Source organism: Homo sapiens, chromosome 3 (assembly GCF_000001405.40).
Source record: "Homo sapiens chromosome 3, GRCh38.p14 Primary Assembly".
Taxonomy (NCBI): Eukaryota; Metazoa; Chordata; class Mammalia; order Primates; family Hominidae; genus Homo; species Homo sapiens.
Window position 1 is genome coordinate 194,527,440 of NC_000003.12, and position 21,600 is coordinate 194,549,039.

The 21,600-nt window shown below is 44.5% G+C and overlaps 1 pseudogene, besides 5 other annotated features; it reads right to left on the minus strand.

Annotated features, from left to right (window-relative positions):
* On the minus strand, positions 6,064 to 6,144 carry RNU6-1101P (RNA, U6 small nuclear 1101, pseudogene; annotated as a pseudogene).
* Positions 9,561 to 9,855: an enhancer, noted in NCBI's record as "tiled region #9858; HepG2 Activating DNase matched - State 1:Tss". NCBI's record gives its function as "activates a minimal TATA promoter and a strong SV40 promoter by Sharpr-MPRA in HepG2 cells {active_cell/tissue: HepG2}" and the evidence as "EXISTENCE:reporter gene assay evidence [ECO:0000049][PMID:27701403]".
* Positions 9,561 to 9,855: a silencer, noted in NCBI's record as "tiled region #9858; K562 Repressive DNase unmatched - State 9:DNaseU". NCBI's record gives its function as "represses a minimal TATA promoter and a strong SV40 promoter by Sharpr-MPRA in K562 cells {active_cell/tissue: K562}" and the evidence as "EXISTENCE:reporter gene assay evidence [ECO:0000049][PMID:27701403]".
* Positions 9,561 to 9,875: a biological region, named in NCBI's record as "Sharpr-MPRA regulatory regions 5224 and 9858".
* Positions 9,581 to 9,875: an enhancer, noted in NCBI's record as "tiled region #5224; HepG2 Activating DNase unmatched - State 1:Tss". NCBI's record gives its function as "activates a minimal TATA promoter and a strong SV40 promoter by Sharpr-MPRA in HepG2 cells {active_cell/tissue: HepG2}" and the evidence as "EXISTENCE:reporter gene assay evidence [ECO:0000049][PMID:27701403]".
* Positions 14,230 to 14,279: an enhancer, noted in NCBI's record as "active region_21027". NCBI's record gives its function as "activates an Ori minimal core promoter by ATAC-STARR-seq in GM12878 lymphoblastoid cells {active_cell/tissue: GM12878}" and the evidence as "EXISTENCE:reporter gene assay evidence [ECO:0000049][PMID:35858748]".

Sequence of the window (21,600 nt, forward strand, 5' to 3'; positions counted from 1 at the left end):
TGTTTTATCATACAAAGTGTGCCTTTGTACACACTTTTCTTCCGTTTTTTTTCTTCCTTTTTTTTTTTTTTTTGGAGGCCAAGTGCACTGACGCCATTTCGGCTCATTGCAACCCCTGCCTCCTGGGTTCAAGCTATTCTCCTGCCTCAGCCTCCCAAGTAGCTGGGACTACAGGTGTGTACCACCATGCCTGACTAATTTTTGTATTTTTAGTAGAGATGGGGTTTCACCATGTTGGCCAGGCTGGTCTCGAACCCTGACCTCAAGTGATCCACCCACCTCGGCCTCTCAAAGTTCTGGGATTACAGGTGTGAGCCATTATGCCCAGCCTGTACACACTAAACATTTTTCATTTTTTCATTCTTCCTAGGATTCCATTTAATCCATGCCCTTCCTTCCTTCCTCCTTCCCTTCCCTCCCTTCCCCTCCCCTCCCCTCCCCTTCTCTTCCTTTCTTCCTTCTTTCTTTTCTCTTTCTTTCTCTTTCTTTCTTTCTTTTTCTTTCTTTCTTCTGTTCTTTCCTTCTTTTGTTCTTTTCTTCCTTCCTTCTTTCCTTCCTTGCTTCCATTCTTTCCCTCTCCCCCCGCCTTCCTTCCCTCTCTCTCCACACCCCTACCCCCGCCCTTCTCTTTCTTTTGAGAGTCTTACTCTATTGCCCAGGATGGAGTGCAATGGTGCCATCACAGCTCACTGCAACCTCTGCCTCCCGGGTTCAAGTGATCTTCGTGCCTCAGCCACCTGAGTAGCTGTGGGATTACAAGTATCTGCAATCAGGTCTGGCTAATTTTTGTATTTTTAGTAGATATGGGGTTTCACCGTGTTGGCCAGGCTGGTCTTCAACTCCTGGCCTCAAGTGATCCACCCACCTCGGTCTCCCAAAGTGCTGGGATTAAAGGCATGAGCCACCGCGTGGCCTAATCCATGCCCTTTCTTCACCTAATTAACTCCTACTCATTTTTCAATGCCCAGCCAAGGGGTTTGTATAATGGTGCAATTTTTGTTTGTTTGTTTGTTTTATGAGACGGTCTTGCTCTGTCACCCAGGCTGGAGTGCAGTGGTACGATTTTGGCTCACTGCAACCTCTGCCTCCCCGGGCTCAAGCAATTCTCCTGCCTCCCTCCCGAGCAGCTGGAATTACAAGTGCACACCACCACACGCTGCTAATTTTTTTGTATTTTTAGTAGAGATAGGATTCCACCATGTTGGCCAGGCTGATCTCGAACTCCTGACCTCAAGTGATCTGCCTGCCTTGGCCTCCCAAAGTACTGGGATTACAGGCATGAGCCACTGCGCTCGGCCAAATGGGGAAAATTGTAATAATTTCTACCTCCGAGGGTTGTTGTGGGAATGAAATGAATTAATGTCTATACAGTTCTTTGACTTCTTCCTGGCATATAGTAAGTGCTAAATAATTTTTAGCTATTATCAGCAACAACATCATCTTCTCTTTCATCATTATTATCAGTATATGTAATATACAAGTCTCTTGTCATTTTTCATGCTATATAGTAATTGCTTTTCATGTCTGTCTCTCCACCATCATATGTGCTCCTTTTTGATCGAATGATCCTCAAATAACGAGGTCATTCTACAGGCCCTAACAAAGCATCAACAGTCAAGGTTTGGAGCTACAGAAATCCTACAGAGAGCTGTGAAAAGAAAAACGTCAACTGGATGAAAAGGCTGTGGGAAAAGGAACAAGTAAATAAGGTTAGAAAGAATGCCTTAGAAATAGCCACAGGACTCATTCACTATTGATCACAGTGCAAGTTGACACAACCTTATTTTGTCAGGCATTTTGGTGCTTCACACGAAAATGTTATTTATTTATTTATTTATTTATTTATTTATTGGAGACAGAGTCTTGCTTTGTCACCCAGGCTGGAGTGCAGTGGCGCAATCTTGGTCACTGCAGCCTCTGCCTCCCAGGTTCAAGCGATTCTCCTGTCTCAGCCTCCTGCATAGCTGGGATTACAGGCACATGCCACCATGCCCAGCTAATTTTTGTATTTTTTTAGTAGCGATGGGGTTTCACCATCTTGGCCAGGCTGGTCTCCAACATCTGACCTCAGGTGATCTGCCCGCCTCAGCCTCCCAGAGTGCTGGGAATACAGGCGTGAGCCACCACACCCGGCCAAAAATTTTAATTACATATATCCTTAAACCGAGAAATATCACTTTTAGAAGTCTATTCAATAAAAACAATTTCTCTGGTATACAAAGATACATGAAAAGGTTAACCATCACATTACTTGTAAGAATAAAAAATTTTGAGAGGCTGAGGTGGGTGGATCACCTGAGGTCAGGAGTTTGAAACCAACCTGGCCAACATGGTGAAACCGCGTCTCTACTAAAAATACAAAAATTAGGTGGGCATGGTGGCGCACACCTGTAATCTCAGCCACTCGGGAGGCTAAGACAGAAGAATCACTTGAACCTGTGAGGCAGAGGTTGCGGTGAGCCAAGATCATGTCACTGCACTCTAGGTTGGGTGACAGAGCGAGACTCCGTCTCAAAAAAAATAAATAAATTTAAAAAAGAATAAAAAATTGGAAACAGCAGAAATGCTCATCAAGGAAAGATTAATTAAATTAATTGTGGGATTGTGCTGCATCCATACAATGAAAGACTATGGAACTATTAAAAAGGAGGTAAAGCTCTCTGTCTGGAAGCCAGAAGTCCACAACATATAGTTAAATGAAAAAGCAAGTCGCAAAATAGTCTAAATTTATTAGCCCAATTTTGGGGTCAACTTTATTGAGGTACAATTTAAATGCAATAAAATTCACCAATGTTAAGTGCACAATAAATGAGTTTTAACAAATATACCATCATATAGTCACTACCACAATCATGAAATTGATAGGATATTTTCATTACCCCCAAAAAATTACCTTGAAACATTTTTCAGTCATTCTACACCCCTACCCTCTGCCTCCTGGCAACCACTAATCTGCTTTTTATAACTAAGATTTTGGACTTTTTTTTAGCACTTCACATAAATGGAATTATATAGTAGATAGTCTTGAGTCTGACTCCTTTCACATAGCATGAAGCTTTTGAGATTCATTCGTGTTTTACATATCAGTGGTTCATTCTTTATTATTGCTGAGTAGCATTTCACTGTAAGGTTTTACTACATTTTATATATTCATTTACCAGTTCTTGGGCATTTGGATTGATTCCAGTTTTTAATGAGTATGAATAAAACCACTATAAACATTTGTGTACAGATTTATTTAATTTAACTTTTTATTTTGAAATAATTATAGATTCACATTATAAGAAATAATACAGAGATTGTTTCCTTACTTATGGAAGAAAAGAAAAAAAGAGAGATCCCTTGATCCAGCTTCCCCCAGTGGTAACATCTTGTAAAGTATAGTAACATATCACAACCAGGCTGTTGACATTGATGAAGTCAAGACACAGAGCAGTTCCATCATCACTGGGACCCCTTGTGTTGCCCTTTTATAGCCACACTCACCTCTTTCCCCGCCCCCAGCTCCTGGCAACTATTAGTCTCTTCTCCATAATTTTGTCATTTCAAGAGTGTAATATAGATAAATGTAAGCATACAATATACAATATACAATTTGTAAAGATTGGCTATTTTCACTCAGCCTAATTCCCTAGGGATTCATTACATATGAGATTCATTACATATACACACACACACACACACACACACACACACCAATAGCTTGCTCCTGTTTATTGCTGAGTAGTGTTCCGTCCTGTGCATATACCATGACTTGGTTTTTGGCTATTATGAATAAAGTCGCTATGAACAATTGGTGTGAATGTAAGTTTTCTTTTCTCTGAGATAAATGCCCAGGAGAGCAACTGTGGGTTGTATGGTAGTTTCATGCAGTTTTATTTATTTATTTATTTATTTATTTATTTATTTATTGAGACGGATTCTCCCTCTGTCACCCAAGCTGGAGTGCAGTGGCGAGATCTCGGCTCACTGCAACCTCCGCCTCCTGGGTTCAGGCAATTCTCCTACCTCAGCCTCCCGAGTAGATGGGACTACAGGCGCGCGCCACCACGCCTGGCTAATTTTTTTGTACTTTTAGTAGAGACAGGGTTTCATTGTGTTAGCCGGGATGGTCTCGATCTCCTGACCTCGTGATCCACCCGCTTCAGCCTCCCAAAGTGCTGGGATTACAGGTGTGAGCCATCACGCCCAGCCCGCACGGTTTTATTTTTAAAAACTGCTAAACCTTTTCCCAGAGTGGTTGTATCATTTCACATTCCTACCAGCAATTTTTGTGGCCCAGTTTCTCTACATCTTTGCCAGCATTTGGTGTTGTCATTATTTTTCATTTTAGCCATTCTGCTAGGCAAAAATAAAAAATATCTTTTTAACTTTTTTTTTTTTTTTTGGTATTTCTAGTACAGACGGGGTTTCACCATGTTGGCCAGGCTGGTCTCGAACTCCTGACCTCAGGTGATCTGCCTACCTCAGCCTCCGAAAGTGCTGGGATTACAGGCATGAGCCACCGTGCCCAGCCTAAAATAAAAAATATTATTATGCTACATGCAAAATGCAAAATAATATTTCACTGTGGCTTTATTTTGTATTTCCCTAATGGCTAATGATGTTGAACTCTTTTCATGTGCTTATTTGCCATCTGTATAGCTTCTTCAGGAAATGTCTGTTCATGTCTTTTACCCGTTTTCTAATTGGATTTTTTTACAAGTTTGTAAGTGTGCAAATTTGGGGGTTTCCTGAAACCACCCTCAGGTTTGGTACTTTGCTAGAATGACTATCCAAGTGATCCTCCTGCCTCAGCCTCCCAAAGTGCTAGGATTACAAGCATGAGGTACCACACCCGCCAAATAATTCTTTTTATATTCTTGATACAAATACTTTGACAGATACATATTTTGCCGATATTTTACCCCAGACTTGCCTTTTCATTTTCTTAACAGTATTATTTGAAGAGCAAATTTTTAAAATTTTTATGAAGACCTAGTCATCATATTTTCCTTTTTGTGGTCTATTTAATATATTAATATATGCCCAACCCAGGGTCACAAAGACGTTCTTCTGTATTTTATTCTAGAAAAGTTCTAGTTCTAGTTCTTACATTCCGGTCTACTTTTCATTTCAAGTTAGTTTTTGCAGATACTATGAGGTAAGGGTTGAGGCTCATTTCTTTACATATGGATATCAATAATTACAGTATGACATGTGCAAAAGAGTCCATTTTCTCAGTGAATTGCCTTGGTATCTGTAAGGAGTTACCCAAACCACACAGTCAGACGGAACAATCCCTATAAGATTGCCCTGACTTCAGACACCAACTGCGAGTTTGCGGCTTCCTAAAACCACTCTCAGATTTGGTACTTTGCTAGAATGACTCACAGAACTCAGGAAAGTGCTGTGTGTACCACTGCAGCTTTATTATAGCAATGGGATATAAATTAGAACCAGACAAAGGAAGAGACACGTAGGGTGAAGTCTGGGAGGGTTGCAAACATGAAACTGCCACTATCTTCAGGAAAGTGTTTTCCTACCAGCACTGATGTGTGATAGTCTGTTCAGAGTATTCCCAACCAGGGAAACTTACCTGAGCTCTGGTGCCCAGAGATTTTATTGAGGTTTTCTTACAAACACGATTGGTTGAGCCCATGTGGTTGTACTCAATCTCCCGCCCCCTGTTCCCTAGAGGTTGAGCTGATACCATGTGTCCCCCAGCTCCAACCGTCTTATCAGATAGTTGGTCTTCCTGCCATGGCCACCCCCAACATGTTATAGCATAAAATATCAGGTGTAGTTCCAAGGGCCCATCAAATAACAAAGACACCCTTAACACTCAGGAAATTCCAAGAGTTTAGAGATTACCTCCCAGGAGATGGGGAAAAGGCCAGGCTTCTCTATAGGAGCCACATTTCTTGCTATATAAAATCTTTGTCAAAAGCAAATATAAAATGTGGTTCATATCCACAGGTTTAGGTCATACATGTGTATGTGTAGATCTATTTCTGGTCTCTCTTTTGTTCAATGATCTACTAGATGGAATTTTCTATGTAAAGAATTCTGTAATGATTTTTTAAAAATATGGAACCCTTGCAAATTTGCATGTCATCCTTGCGCAGGGACCATGCTAATTTTCTGTCTCATTCCAGTTTTTTTTTTTTTTTTTTTTTTTGAGACGGAGTCTCGCTTAGTTGCCCAGGCTGGAGTGCAGTGGCATGATCTTGGCTCACTGCAAGCTCCACCTCCTGGGTTCACACCATTCTCCTGCCTCAGCCTCCCAATTAGCTGGGACTACAGGTGCCCGCCACCACGCCGGGATAATTTTTTTTTTAATTTTTTTTTATTTTTAGTAGAGACAGGGTTTCACCATGTTAGCCAGGATGGTCTCAATCTCCTGACTTTGTGATCTGCCCTCCTCGGCCTCCCAGAGTGCTGGGATTACAGGCATGAGCCACCACTCCTGGCCTGTCTCATTCCAGTTTTATCAAATGTGCTATTGAAATGAGTGCTGTATAATTTTTAAACAATGTGCATACAATACTTCCATAGAAAGGAAAAAATGATAAGGATATAAGGAAAAATGATCTGCTTAAGCAGAAAAAAATAATTATACATAATAGCTGAAATACAACATTAGGGAAATTTCCCAGGAAATATAGCAAAAAGATAAAGGGATATAAAATAGTAGACAAAAGGTTAGGAAGTTAAGAGTACTAGTTCAGGGGATCTTATATCTGAATACCGGTGTTTCCAGAAAGAAAAAAGAGAAAAGAAGGGACAAAGCAATCAATGTCATAATTCAACAATAGAATGAACTGTGATATTTAAGAGCCAATAAGTAGCCAGCATCATTTTAGGGAGGAAGAGAAGATTTCATTGCCTCTAGAGATGAAAAAATTGGCTATATACAAAGTTTAGGAAGCAAAATGGATTTGGACTTCGCATCAGCAACACTAGAAGCCAAAGCACAATGAAGCAGTGCCTTTAAAATTCTGAGAAATGTAACTTGCAATCTGGAATTCTATACCCAGCCATACTATCAATTGAGTATGAGAGCAGAAAAAAATATGTTCAAGTATGTAAGATTTCAAAAACTTTTATCTATCATGCACTCCTTCTCTATAAGCTACCGGAGAAGATACTCCACGCAAAGACCAAGTAAATCCAGGAGGAGAATCTAAAATAGGAGAGAAGCAAGGAGATTCCCTGGGAGGATAGTAAGGGGAAATGCCATGATAATCGCTGTGTACAACATGTGGAGAACAACCATTTCCATGTGGAAAACTGTGACTCAAGAAACAGGTTGAGAACTGTCATCACCCAAAAATCCTCACTGATATCATACCTTGTTCAAACTTGAGGACGATTTATCCATATTTGTCACAGTTTCATTACATATTATGGAAATTCCCACTCACCTCTCTACACTCTGCTGGTAGAATCGGCTGAGCGTATTCATTTCATAAAACAGCCCGTTTCTGAAGTGTTGTGCTTTAGGCCTACTCTTGAGAGCTGAATGTAGGCTAATGAGCTTAAAAGCAGAAAATACAAAGCATCCTTCCCCCTCTGACCCTATTTCTACAGGGTCTTCAGTGCCTGGCCCATCCTGCAGATCTGCCAGATGCCCAGACACAGGTGAACCCTCATGGTTAGAGACTTATCCACCTGAAACTAATGAAACGGAAGCCCTTTATTCATATATGCCCTCCCCAAGGCCCTGTACCTAATTTAGTATTTGTAATTTTGAACTTATAATCTTACAAAAGGGTCCTCCAAATTATATAATCTTCAGACCCCACAAATCCTAGATCTGCGCCTGTGTACGATTGTTTTTTTCTTTTTTTTTGGCTTTCTCCCCTCCAATTAGGAAGATAGATGCATGTTTTGTTCTGGTTTGTTTTCTTGTTTTGTTTCGTTTTTGAGACGGAGTTCCGCTCTTGTTGCTCAAGCTGGAGTGCAATGGCCAATCTCTGCTCACCCCAACCTCCGCCTCCTGGGTTCAAGCAATTCTCTTGCCTCAGCCTCCCGAGTAGCTGGGATTACAGACACACGCCACCACAGCTGGCTAATTTTTTGTATTTTTAGTAGAAACGGGGTTTCACCATGTTAGCCAGGCTGGTCTCAAACTCCTGACCTCAGGTGATCCATCTGCCTCGGCCTCTCAAAGGCTTACAGGCGTGAGCCACTGTGCCCAGCCTTGTTTTTGTTTTGAAATGGGGTCTCACTATGTTGCCCAGACTGGACCAGAACTCCTGGGTTCAAGTGATCCTCCCATTTCAGCCTCCTGAGTAGCTAGGACTACAGGCACATGCCGCCATGCCTTGCTCTTTGATCATGATTTTGTCCTCTGACTTCTCCAGAAGAGGCTTTTAAAGACTCAGGAAGGTTGAAATTACATTATAACCCAGCAACTCTATTCAGCTTGTTTTCCATGACCCAGCAACTCTATTCAGCTTATTTTCCCAGGAAATCTCATGTAATACTGGCAACAGTGCTCTTTCCTTACACAGCTAGCTTTGTGCTAGCCACTCAGTTATTCAAATCCAACCAGTAGATTGTTTAGGGATATGTCATATAGAGGGCAAAACTATAAAGCAAACAGTAACGACTGACATTAAAGGTAGTACCTGGGGAGGATGTGGTGCCCAGGGAAGCAGAGATTGCAGGGAGGCACACAGCTGAGCCTCAAGGTACTAGTGGGTGATAGGTGTTTGTCATTATTATTATTATTATTTTGAGACAGAGTCTCGCTCTGTTGGCCAGGCTGGAGTGCAGTGGCACGATCTCGGCTCACTGCAACCTCCATCTCCCAGGCTCAAGCAATTCTCCTACCTCAGCCTCCCGAGTAGCTGGGATTACAGGAGTGAGCCACCACACCCGGCTGATTTTTGTATTTTTAGTAGAGATGGGGTTTCACCATGTTGGCCAGGCTGGTCTCAAACTCCTGACCTCAGGTAATCTGCCTGCCTTGGCCTCCCAAAATCCTGGGATTACAGGCGTGAGCCACTGTGCCTGGCCTATTATTTTATTATTTTGAAAGAGGGTCTTGTTCTGTTGCCCAGGCTGGAGTGCAGTGGCGTGATCACAACTCACTGCTGCCTCTTGAGCTCTTCCCGCCTTAGCCTCCTGAGTAGCTGGGACTACAGGTGTGTGCCACTGCACTCTGCTAGTTTTATTTTATGGTTTTGTTTGTTAGTTTGGTTTTGTTGTTGTTGTTATTGTTGTTGTTGTTGTGTGTGTGTGTGTGTGTGTGTGTGTGTGTGTGTAGAGCTGGTGGTCTCATTAAGGTGCCCAGGCTGGTCTCAAACTCCTGATTTTAAGCCATCTTTCCACCTCAGCCTCCCAAAGTGCTGAGATGACAGGTGTGAGCCACTGCACCCGGCCTCGTTATTTAATCTTTAGATTGTACACATACTTTTCTCTAAATATGATACATTTTATAATTTTAAAGCCTGGAGAGGTGCCTGAAGGCTACTGTTTCCTCTCTTGGTTCAGGGCTGCAGCCAGAGAATATGTGCAGAGTCACTGTCAACAGCAAGTTAAGTATAAAAGGAAATAATGATTTTCTAACATTCTAATAAACCTGTGCTAGTTAGAGAGGATAGTGGTTACTGCAATAGAGTCCACTGTTTGCACTGGGAAGGGGTAAAGTCCAGCTGCCTTTTTCAGGCCCTCCTGGTAGAACAGCATTTTTCTGGCCCAGAGAGCATTCAGAATTTGGTCCTTACTTCCACATGTCCAGAAACTTGATTTTAGCCACTCCACTGGGACTTCTCATGCTTAGAGGGAATGCCTATGAATGAGCAGCCACTGTGAGCTCCTTGAGGGCTGAGATCATGCTTTATCCATCTCTAAATTCCCATTGCCTAGCAAAGAACCTACCTACAACAACAGAGTCCAGGGACCTTTCTGGCAACTTGCATACTCGTGTGTTCCAGACAGAACATGCATGCCTGCTCTGGAGGCACAGCTCCCTTCCTGGGGCCTGGTGGCCTGACCCTGAGGCTTAGCCCAGAGGTTAATCGCCCTTCCACCAAGGATACAGCACACCTACCTTCCTACCAGCCTCCTCATGCTGTCATTTACCCAGGCCAGGACTGGCTGCCAGCCCTGGCACAGTGCCATGCTCATAAAAAGGGCTCAGGAAATGGAAGAAGAAATATAGAAGCCCAAGTCAGAAGGCAGACTTTCTTTTCCCCCACATGGGCTACTTCGTGGTCTTTGCCTTATCTTCACATATATGATCGATCCCCCAGCCCAGCCGATAGACAGGCTTAGATATGAAGCTTCTTAGAAATGCTTTTCCGAGTAAGGTTCTGCTCTGCTTGTAGAAAGTGATGGAGAAAGTGAATGCCACCCAGCCAAATACACTCATTAGTTTACCCAGCAAAGAGTGCAGCAGTCAGAATTTCAAACACTGGAGGAAGCGGTGAGGACAAAATCCAAAGCCCTTGCCAGTCACAGGGGAGTAATTTGACCAGTTATGACCATGCTCTTCCTGCTCACAAATATATGCTGACTGCCTTCGGGACAAGCAGGTGGTTGCTTTGCCTGGGGAGCCACCAAAGCTGTGTAAGGCCTGGGCCACAGCCAGAAATAGTTTAGATTCCAAAAGCTCAGAGTCAAGGCTGCGAGAGCACTTGTTTAGTCCATCAAGAAGCAGATCAAGAAGAGAAGTGGCTTAGAAAGACAGTGACGGGGTCGGGTGTGGTGGCTCACGCCTGTAATCCCAGCACTCTGGGAGGCTGTGGCAGGCAGATCACTTAAGGTCAGGATTCCGAGACCAGCCTGGCTAGTATGGTGAAACCCTGTCTCTACTAGAGATACAAAAATTGGCCGGGCGCGGTAGCTCACACCTGTAATCCCCGCACTTTGGGAGGCCGAGGCGGGCGGATCACCTGAGGTCAGGAGTTCGAGACTAGCCTGACCAACGTAGAGAAACCTTGTCTCTACTAAAAATACAAAATTAGCCAGGCGTGCTGGTGCATGCCTGTAATCCCAGCTACTCGGGAGGCTGAAGCAGGAGAATCGCTTGAACCTGGGAGGCGGAGGCTGCGGTGAGTCGAGATCATGCCATTGCACTCCAGCCTGGGTGACAAGACTGAAACTCCGTCTCAACAACAACAACAGCAAAAAAGAGAGATACAAAAATTAGCCTGGTGTGGTGGCACACACCTGTAGTCCCAGCTAATTGGGAGGCTGAGGCAGGAGAATCCTTGAACCTGGGAGGTGGAGGTTGCAGTCAGTCAAGATTGTGCCACTGCACTCCAGCCTGGGTGACAGAGTGAGACTGTCTCAAAAAAAAAAAAAAAAGAATGAAAGACAGTGATGGAACCAAGCCGAGGATGAAGGACTCCCAACTGCCACATGTGTATTATTGTGTCTGTTACGCTCTGCATCTCTGGTCATTGCAGATCCCATGGTCAAGGGCCTTCGTCCTGCCATAGCAAGGTTTGAGTCTTCTAATTGGCATTCACATGAGGTTTATGTCTATGTAACTGCAAAAAAAACTTATTAGCTCAACTGGCCTGTTGAGTGGATAAATAGTGATTACTCTTTTCTGATTTTATCTTTGTAATGTGACAAGTTTGTGGGGTAGAAATTCTAATTTGCCATCTATTTTGCATTTATTTACATAATGAGCTCCCAAGCCCCTGAGGATATACCATGAATTAATTAGTGGAGTCTGTAATAGCCAATTCCAGTTCTGTGGAGTATTAGGACACCCACAATAAAGAGAAATGCATTATTATTATTATTTTTAGCAATTGATATACCCTAGAGGTACTAAAGCCTTTTCAGAACAAGGTGTGGTGTATATAAATGACTATGTTATCCATGTCCCGATTTAGGAAAGGAGATATTGCAGAAATTGAAGTCTGTTACCTTAAATGCCAAGGGGATTCGGCATTTCTGTCCTCCCCCTGGCTTATTCTGAAATCGAGGTGAGATGGGAAGAAGGGTAGTGACTGAGGCAGAAGGACAACCTGATTTCTAATCATTCATTCACTGGAACAACATTGCTTGAGTCAATCTATGTGTAAGGCTTTGTGTGAGGGGGTGATAGATCATTTAATAGGACCCAGGAGATCATGCTTTGAAAAACACCTGATATCTTGCATGTAGTGAAGAAAAGACACCTGCAAAAGTACCCGCTGACCCTGGGGTGGAGGTGTCCTCACCCAAAGGCCTCAACTGCTGACTTCTAGTCAAAGCTTCAACACTCACTTGCTGTGTGACTTTGAACAAATCACTTCCCCTCTCTGATCCTCAGTATCCTAGCTGTGAAATTAGAGGCAAGGAAGAACTCGCAGAAGGAATGTGGCATGTAGAAAGACCCAGAAATCCCTCTCTATGTTTTAGTCTATGGCTGTCCTCTCCATAAGGACAGTTTCAAACCTTCTCCATTCTGCTCAGATCTCCAAATCTGCACCCGATTCTCCTCTCTCTTAGCAAATGATCTGATTCCCAACTTCATAAAGAAAATAGAAGTTTCAGACTGGGTGCGGTAACTCATGCCTGTAATCCCAGCACTTTGGGAAGCCAAGGCAGGTGGATCACCTGACGTCAGGAGTTCAAGACCAGCCTGGCCAACATGGTGAAACCCCGTCTCTCCTAAAAATAAAAAATTAGCTGGGCATGGTGGCAGGCACCTGCAATCCCAGCTACTCGGAAGGCTGAGGCTAGAGAATTGCTTGAACTTGGGAGGCAGAGGTTGCAATGAGCCGAGATCGCAGCGGTGCACTCCAGCTTGGGCAACAGAGTGAGACTCCGTCTCAAAAAAAAAAGAAAGAAAGAAAATAGAAGTCTGTTGGTGTCTGGCCAGGGTGGCTCATGCCTGCAATCCCAGCACTTTGGGAGGCCAAGATAGGAGGATCACTTGAGGCCAGGAGTTTGAGACCAGCCAGGTCAACATAGCAAGACCCTATCCCTACAAAAGTAAAAAATAGAAATCTCCTGTGAGAATTGCCTCACCCTCCTGTGCCACATCTGCACCTCGTGTTGACGGAGGGAGCATCCTTTCTCATCGATGTTTAAACTACACACATTCCAGCCATCCCCATCGTAACACAAAACAAACTGATGTCTTTGTTGCTCCCAAGTTCCCCTCTGGTTGCTCGTGTATCTTTTGCTCCCTTTCCAAATGTCTTGAATGAGTTGTTCACACTGCTTGTCTTCATTCCTGACTTTCAGTCATTTCTCAGCCACCTCCAGCCAGCTCCCTCCACTGGCTCCTCCACTCCCACTCTGCCAGAGCTGGATTTGTTAAGTTGGCCAGGGACCTCTGCTGCGTGAGGAACACTGCTCGCTCTGACTTCTCAGCAAAACACAAAGCGCAGCCAGCCACTTCCTCCTTCCTGAAACACTCTCTTATTGGCTTTGAGATGCCAAACTCTCTGATTCCTCTCTGACCACTTTTCAGTTTCTTTTGCCTATTTCTTTAGCTGACTATTAAATTTGGGGGATCATAAGACCCAGTCCTGGGCCTAATTCTCTTCTCACTCTGCACGTTATCCTTAAGCAATGTCACTCATTTCCAGGTTTAAATCTGGAATCGAATCCCTTGCTTACCGGTTCCTAAGTATTTGTGATATTATTTGAGAGGGAGAAAGAGAAAGAGAGGTTTTCATCTATGGTTCTTGGTTCGTAACTCCCATAACCCTTGTTGCAGTATTTTGCTGTAACATAGGGGCATTTTAGGCCTCAGAAGCAGGCCTCAGAAAACAAAATCTCTCTGACTTTTTTTTTTTTTTTTTTTTTGAGACAGGGTCTCACTCTGTTCTCCAGGCTGGAGTGCAGTGGCATAATCATGGCTCACTGCCCCCTTGCCCTCCCCAGGCTCAGCGGTAGCCTCCTGAGTAGCTGGGACTACAGGTGTGTGCCACCACGCCTGGCTAATATTTTTTTGTATTTTCTGCAGAGAGGCAGTTTTGTTGAGTTGCCCAGGCTGGTCTCGAACCCCTCGTCTCAAGTGGTCCTATTGTCTCGGCCTCCCAAAGTGCTGGGATTGCAGGTGTGAGCCACCAGGCCTGGTCTCACTCTCTGACTTTCTCCTGCCTTCCTTTCTCTTCCCAAGGTGGAAATCTTTCCCCACATTTCTGTCTCGGAGCTGGTCATAAAGAAATTCTCTGGCCTCTCTTGTTTGACTGTAGGTCACAAGACCCTGGTTTCAGAAGAGGTCCTGCCCCGTACCTTGCGGGAAGGAGTGCTGCACGGAGGCCACGAGGGATCTGAACACACAGGCCTTGCGGGGTTTCCCCACTCAGCTTATGACTATCAGGTCATACCCTTTTCACCCAGTCACATTTCTACAGAGTTGTCAGTCATGCCCATCCAGTGAAGCCTCCATTAAGGGCCAAGAAAACAGGGCTCAGAGAGTTTCCGGATAGCTGAACACATGGAGGCTGTTGGACGGTGGCCCTCAGAGACAGCATGGAATCTCCATGCCCCCACCCGGCCTCACCCCAGGCATTTTTTTTTTTTTTTTGAGACAGAGTTTTACTCTCGTTGCCCGGGCTGGGGTGCAATGGTGTGATCTCAGCTCACTGCAACCTCCACCTTCCGGGTTCAAGCGATTCTCCTGCCTCAGCCTCCTGAGTAGCTGGGATTACAGGTGCCCGCTACCACACCCAGCTAATTTTTGTGTTTTTAGTAGAGACGGGGTTTCACCATGTTGGCCAGGCTGGTCTTGAACTCCCGACCTCAGGTAATCCACCCGCCTTGGCCTCTCAAAATGCTGGGATTACAGGCGTGAGCTACCACGCCCGGCCTCATGCATCTTTTCATCTGTATCCTTTGTAATGTTCTATACAGTAAACTGGTAAATGTACATAAGGGTTTCCCTGAGTTCTGTGAGCCACTCCAGCATATTAATCAAACCCAAAGAGAGGGTTCTGCCCAACTTGAAGCCAGTTGCTCAGAAATTCCAGAGGCCTGGACTTGTGACTACTGTCTGAAGTGGGGGCAGCCTTGGAGACTAACCCCCAATCTGAAATCTGATGAGATCTCCAAAGACAGTGTCAGAACTGAACTGGAGGACACCCAGCTGGTATCAGCTGCAGAATTGGTTGCTTGAAACCCCCACACATTTGGTCACAGAAGTCTTCCGTGTTGATTGTTGTGGTGTGAGAGCAAAGGAAATCACAATTTGTGTTTTTTCCACTCAGAGCCAGGTTCTCTGTGTTTGGGATAGGAAATACCTGGCCTCTTCCAGCCAGATGGAGAATCTGCTGTCATTTGCATTTTAAAAAATCTCTTCTGGTTTATGCATATGTGTTGATTTTACTGAATTTTAGCTAAAATGTATCGAATGCTCACTCTGTGCCGAGTGTTCTTCCAACAATTCTACAGAAATAAAATCACTTAGGCCAGGTGCAGTGGCTCACACCTGTAATCCCAGCACTTTGGGAGGCCGCGGCAGGCAGATCACCTGAGGTCAGGAGTTCAAGACCAGCCTGGCTAACATGGTGAAACCCCGTCTCTACTAAAGATACAAAAAATTAGCTGGGCAGGGTGGCGGGCACCTATAATCCCAGCTACTCGGGAGGCTGAGGCAGGAGAATCGCTTGAACCCGGGAGGCGGAGGTTGCAGTGAGCCAAGACCGTGCCACCGCACTCCAGCCTGGGCGAATAAAATCACTTAACTCTCATGGAAACCCAAGGAGATAGACACTTTAAAAATACACTTTACTTTTTAGAGCAGTTTTAGGTTCACAGTAAAATTGAGTGGAGAGTACAGAGTTCCCACGTGCCACCTGCCCCCCACCACAGGCACAACCTTACCTGCTGTCAACATCCTCCACCACAATGGTACATTTGCTCAATGAGCCTCCACTGATCATTATCACCCAAAGTTCATAGTTTACATTAACATTCACTCTTGGCGTTGTACTTTTTTTTTTTTTTTTTTTTGAGACAGAGTCTCACTCTGTTGCCCAGGCTGGAGTGCAGTGGCATGATCTTGGCTCACTGCAACCTCCACCTCCAGGGTTCAAGCAATTCTCCTGCTTCAGCCTCCTGAGTAGTTGGGACTACAGGCACCCGCCACCATGCCTGGCTAATTTAAGTATTTTTAGTAGAGATGGGGTTTCACCATATTGGCCAGGCTGATCTAGAACTCCTGACCTTGTGATCCGCCCGCCCTGGCCTCCCAAAGTGCTGGGATTACAGACGTGAGCTGCTGCACCCGGCCTGGTGTTGTACATTCTGTGAGTTTTGACAAATATATAATGACACACAGCCACCATTATAGGATTGTACAGAATCGTTTCACTGCCCAAAAAATCCACTGTGCTCCCCCTCTTCATCCCTCCTCCCCCACTGAGCACCGGCAGCCACTCAGCTTTCACTATCTCCACGGTTTTACCTTCTGCAGAATATCATATGGTTGACTCGTACAGTATGTAGCCTTTTCAGACTGGCTTCCCTCACTTAGTAATTGCATTTAAGATTTCTTTACATCCTTTCATGGCTTGATAGCTCATTTTATTTTAGTGCAACAAGATTCCATTGTCTGGATATACCACAGTTTATTTATCCATTCATCTACTTGAAGGACATCTTGGTTGCTTTGAAGTTTTGCCATTTACGAATAAAACGTCCATATGTAGATTTTCGTATGGACATATGTTTTTAATTCTTTTGGGTAAATACCAAGAAGCACAATTGCTGGATCGTATGATATTTGGACTGAATGCTTGTGTCCCCCCAAAACTCATATGTTGAAGCCATAACCTCAGTATGGCTGTTTCTGGAGATGGGCGTCTAAGAAGTAGAAGAAAATGGTTTCTCTACTTGCAGCACTTCTGACACCAAGTGTGTGGGTTCCTTCCACACCAAGAACCAATTCTCCAGATTCCAACTGAATGTCAGATGACTCAATTCAGTTCTCACACTAACTACCCAGTCAGGATCAGACCCACAGGTGAAAGGGCTCAGTCCCGCAAGACCACCCCTACTTCAGATGCTAGTCGCAAATAATGGGTCCGCAGGTGATAGAGTTTGGATATTTGTCCCCTCCAAATCTCATGTTGAAATTTGATCTCCAACATTGAAAATGGGGCCTAGTGGGAGGTGTTTGGGTGATTGGGGAGGATCCCTCATGAATGGCTTGGTACCATCCTTGAGGTCATGAGTGAGCTCTTGCCCTAGTTCCTGCAAGACCTGATTGTTAAAGAGTCTGGCATATCTGCCCCCCAACCCCCTCATGCCACCCCCGGCTTGCTTTCTCTCTTACCATCTGATCTGCACACTCAGGCTCCCCATCACCTTCCACCATGAGTGGAAACACCATGAGGCCCTCACCAGAAGCTGAGCGGTTTCTAGAACCGGGCTTCTTGTACAGCCTGCAGAACCAAGGGAAAAATGAGTCTCTTTTCTTTATAAATCACCAGCCTCAGGTATTCGTTTATAGCAACACAAATGGACAAAGACACCAGGGTCCCATACTTCTGCCTAACGTGGCTACAAAGTTGAAGGTTCCCACACGCTATCCCGCAGGTTCGATAGTTTGCTAGAATGGCTGATAGAACTCAGGGAAACACTTTGCTTCACATTGGCCAGTTTACTATAAAGGACATAAAAGAGGATACTGACAGACTGGGAGTGGTGGTTCATGCCTATAATCCCAGCACTTTGGGAGGCCAAGGTGGGAGGATTGCTTGAGCCCAGGAGTTCGAGACCAGCCTGGGCAACATAGTGAGACCCTGTCTCTCTCTGTATAAAAAAAAGATACTGACAGTCTGTTTGGGCTGCTCTGCATAAAATGGGTGGCTAATAAACAAAAAAAAATTGATTTCTTACAGTCCAGGAGGCTGGGAAGTCCAAGATAAGGGTGCCAGCGGAGTCAGTGTCTAGTGAGGATCCGCTTCCTTATAGATGGTCCTTCTTTTACTGTGTCCTTACATGGTGACACAGGGACAAAAGAGCTCTCCAGGGTCTCTCTCTCTCTTTTTATTTTTTTTTTTTTTTTTTGAGACACAGTCTTGCTCTGTTGCCCAGGCTGGAATGCAGTGGGCCACGATCTCAGCTCACTGCAACCTCTGCCTCCCAGGTTCAAGTGATTCTCCTGCCTCAGCCTCCGGAGTATCTGGGATTACAGGCGCCTGCCACCACACCCAGCTAATTTGTGTATTTTTTGTAGAGATGGGGTTTCGCCATGTTGGCCATGCTGGTCTTGAACTCCTGACCTCAAGTGATCCACCCGCCTCGGCCTCTCAAAGTGCTGGGATTCCAGGCGTGAGCCACTGTGCCTGGCCAGGCTCTCTTTAATAAAGACACTAATCCCTTTCCTGAGGGCTCCACCTTGATGACCTCATCACCTCCCAAAGGCCCTACCTCCTAATACCATCATCTTGGGTGTTAGAATTTCAACATATGAATTTTGGGGAAACGCAGTCAGGCCACAGCAGATTCAGAGGAACAGCCCAATGAAGAGGTACGTAGAGCGAGGTGCTGAGGGTCCTGAGTGCAGGAGCTTCTGTCCCCATGGAGCTGGAGTATGCCACCCTCCCACCACGTGGACTGACTCAACAACTCTGAAGCTCTCTGAACCCTGTAGTTTAGAGATTTTTTTGTGGAGACTTCATCACCTATGCATAATTATTTATGAACTCAGTCGCCAGCCCCTCCCCACTCCTCAGAGGATGGGGGATGGGACTGAAAGTTCAAGCTTCCAATCATGGCCTGGACTTTCTGGAGATGAGCCCCCATCCTGAGGCTGTCCCGGAGACCACCAGGATTCACCTCATTAGAACAAAAGATGCTCCTACCACCCAGGAAATCCCAAGGGATTTAGGAGCTCTGTGTCAGGAACCAACGGCAGAGGCTAAATAACATATTTCTTATTGTATCACAGGAATGAATCAAGGTTAAAGGAAGTTCTGATGGTGGGGCCCTGACCTGGTAGGATTAGTGTTCTTATGACACACTGGAGAGTGCTTTCTCTCTCTCCCTCCCAATCGTCTCCCTCCCCATACCCAGGCCCCAGGAGAGACCATGTGAGGGCACAGCTAGAAGGTGGCCATCCGGAGCCAGGAGGAGACCCCGCAGAAACCATATTGCCCAGATTCTTGATCTTAAACCTCTAGCCTTTATAACTGTGAAAAAAATAATTTCTTGACATTTCTGTCAAATAAACAAGCAAGCAAAAAAAGATACAAAAACAAATTAATGAATTTTTGTTGTTTAAGCCAGAAACAGTATTTTGTTATGGGGGCGTGAGCTGACTAATACATATGGTAAGAGTACATTTAGTTTTGTAAGAAACTGCCATGGCTGACATGGTTGTTCACGCCTGTAATGCCAGCACTTTGGGAGGCAGAGGCGGGCAGATCACTTGAGGTCAGGAGTTCGAGACCAGTCTGGCCAACATGATGAAACCCTGTCTCTACTAAAAATACAAAAAATTAGCCAGGTATAGTGGTGGGTGCCTGTAATCCCAGCTACTCGGGAGGCTGAGACAGGAGAATTGCTTGAACCCAGGAGGCAGAGGTTGCAGGGAGTCTAGATCATACCATTGCACTCCAGCCTGGGCAACAGGAGCGAAACTCCATCTCAAAAAAAAAGAAAAAAAGAAACTGCCAAACTGTCTTCCAAAGTGGCTGTTCCATTTTGCATTCCCACCAGCAATGAACGTGAGTTCCTGTTGTTCCTCATCCTTGCCAGCATTTGGTGTTGCCAGTGTTTTGAATTTTGGCCCTTCTAATAGGTGTTATTTTTATTTATAATCTCTAGTGCATATCATATTGAACATCTTTTTGTATGCTTATTTGCCATCTTTATATCATCTTTGGTGAGGTGTCTGTTCATGACTTTTTGCCCATTTTTAAATTGGGTAGTTTCTTTTCTCACTGTTGAGTTTTAGGAGTTCTTTATTTATTGTGGATAGCAGTCCTTTATCGGATGTGACTCTTGCAAATATTTTCTGTTGATTATCTTTTTATTCTCTTGACCTTGTCTTTCACGAGTAGAAGCTTTAAATTTCAATGAAGTCCAGCTTATCAATTTTTTTCTTTCCAGGACCATACCCTGAGTATATCTAAAAAGTCATTGCCATGCCCAGGGTCACCTAGATTTTCTCCTAAGTTATCTTCCGGGAGTGTTATAGTTTAGTGTTTTACATTTAGGTCTGTGATCCATTTTAAGTTAATTTTGTGAAGGTCTGTGTCTAGATTCGTTTTGGGGGGGCATGTAAATTTCCAGTTGTTGTAGCACTATTTGTTGAAAAGACTATTTTTTTCTCCATTGTATTGCCTTAGTCACTGTTTTTTGTTTTGTTTTGTTTTGTTGTGTGTGTGTGTGTGTGTATGTATGTGTTTTAATATAGACAGGGTCTTGCTATGTTGCCCAGGCTGGTCTCAAACTCCTGGGCTCAAGCTATCCTCCAGCCTTGGCCTCCCAAAGTGCTGGGATCACAGGCATGAGCCACCATGCCTGGCCCTTAGCCACTGTTTTAAAGCACATTTTACAGCAGGGAAAAATTAAGGAACTTTCTCCAGGAACACTCAGCAAGTACCTGGTAGATGAAATCCAATGTAAATTCTCTGATTAACTTAGGCTCTTATCTACATCTCTGTTGCCTCTCTGTTTTTTGCATATATATATATATATATATATATATATATATATATATATACTTTTTTTTTTTTCAAGACAGAGTCTCAGTCTGTCACCCAGGCTGGAGTGCAGTGGTGCAATCTTGGCTCACTATAACCTCCGCCTCCCAGGTTCAAGCGATTCTCATACCTCAGCCCCCTGAGCAGCTGGGATTACAAGCGCCTGCCACCATGCCCAGCTAATTTTTGTATTTTTAGTAGAGACGGGGTTTCACCATGTTGATCAGGGTAGTCTCGAACTCCTGACCTCAAGTGATCCCCCTGCCTCGGCCTCTCAAAATGCTGGGGTTACAGGCATGAGCCACCGAGCCCGGCCATGGTTAAATCTTTATCAGCATACTTGGTTATTTCTTAGAATAAATTTCTAGCAAGAGAATTAATTGCTGGGAGCAGCTTTCTGAACCTTTGCTCAGGTGGGCACCTTGGTCAAGTAACAGGTCACCTACCTTCTCGGAACCACAGCTGAAACGCATTTGATTTGTCTAAGTCCTGGGCCGCATGCCAGTTCTTTGTTTTTGAAGGTGTGAATTTTCATCTCTTTCAGAGTCCTCATACAGGAAATGTAGAGAAACTACAATGGGAACTGCTAGCCTGGTATCATTTTGAAACAGCAAAGTCTTGTTTAATTTGATTCTCCGGAGGTCCCTGAGCCCCTGCCATGTGACTGTCACAGAGTTATTTTGCACTCAGAGAACTCAGTCTCCTGTGTGCATCGGCACTGGGGAGGGAGGAGGGAGGCAGGAGCTTACACAGCTCTCTTGAGTGCCACGCAGACTGTGCCAAGCCATATTATAAAGGGTTTTGACAGCCCAGAGAACAGCGTAAATTAGGGTTTCAGAAGGTGGATTTGAGAGCTAACGGACAAGCGAAAGACTTGGAGAAAGGCCTAGAGATGTGGGAAGACTTTGGGGGCAAAGACCTTGTGGTCACAGTGAAAAGAATGTGTATGTGTGTGCGTATGTGTATGTGTGCGTGTGTATACTGCTGTGTTTATGTG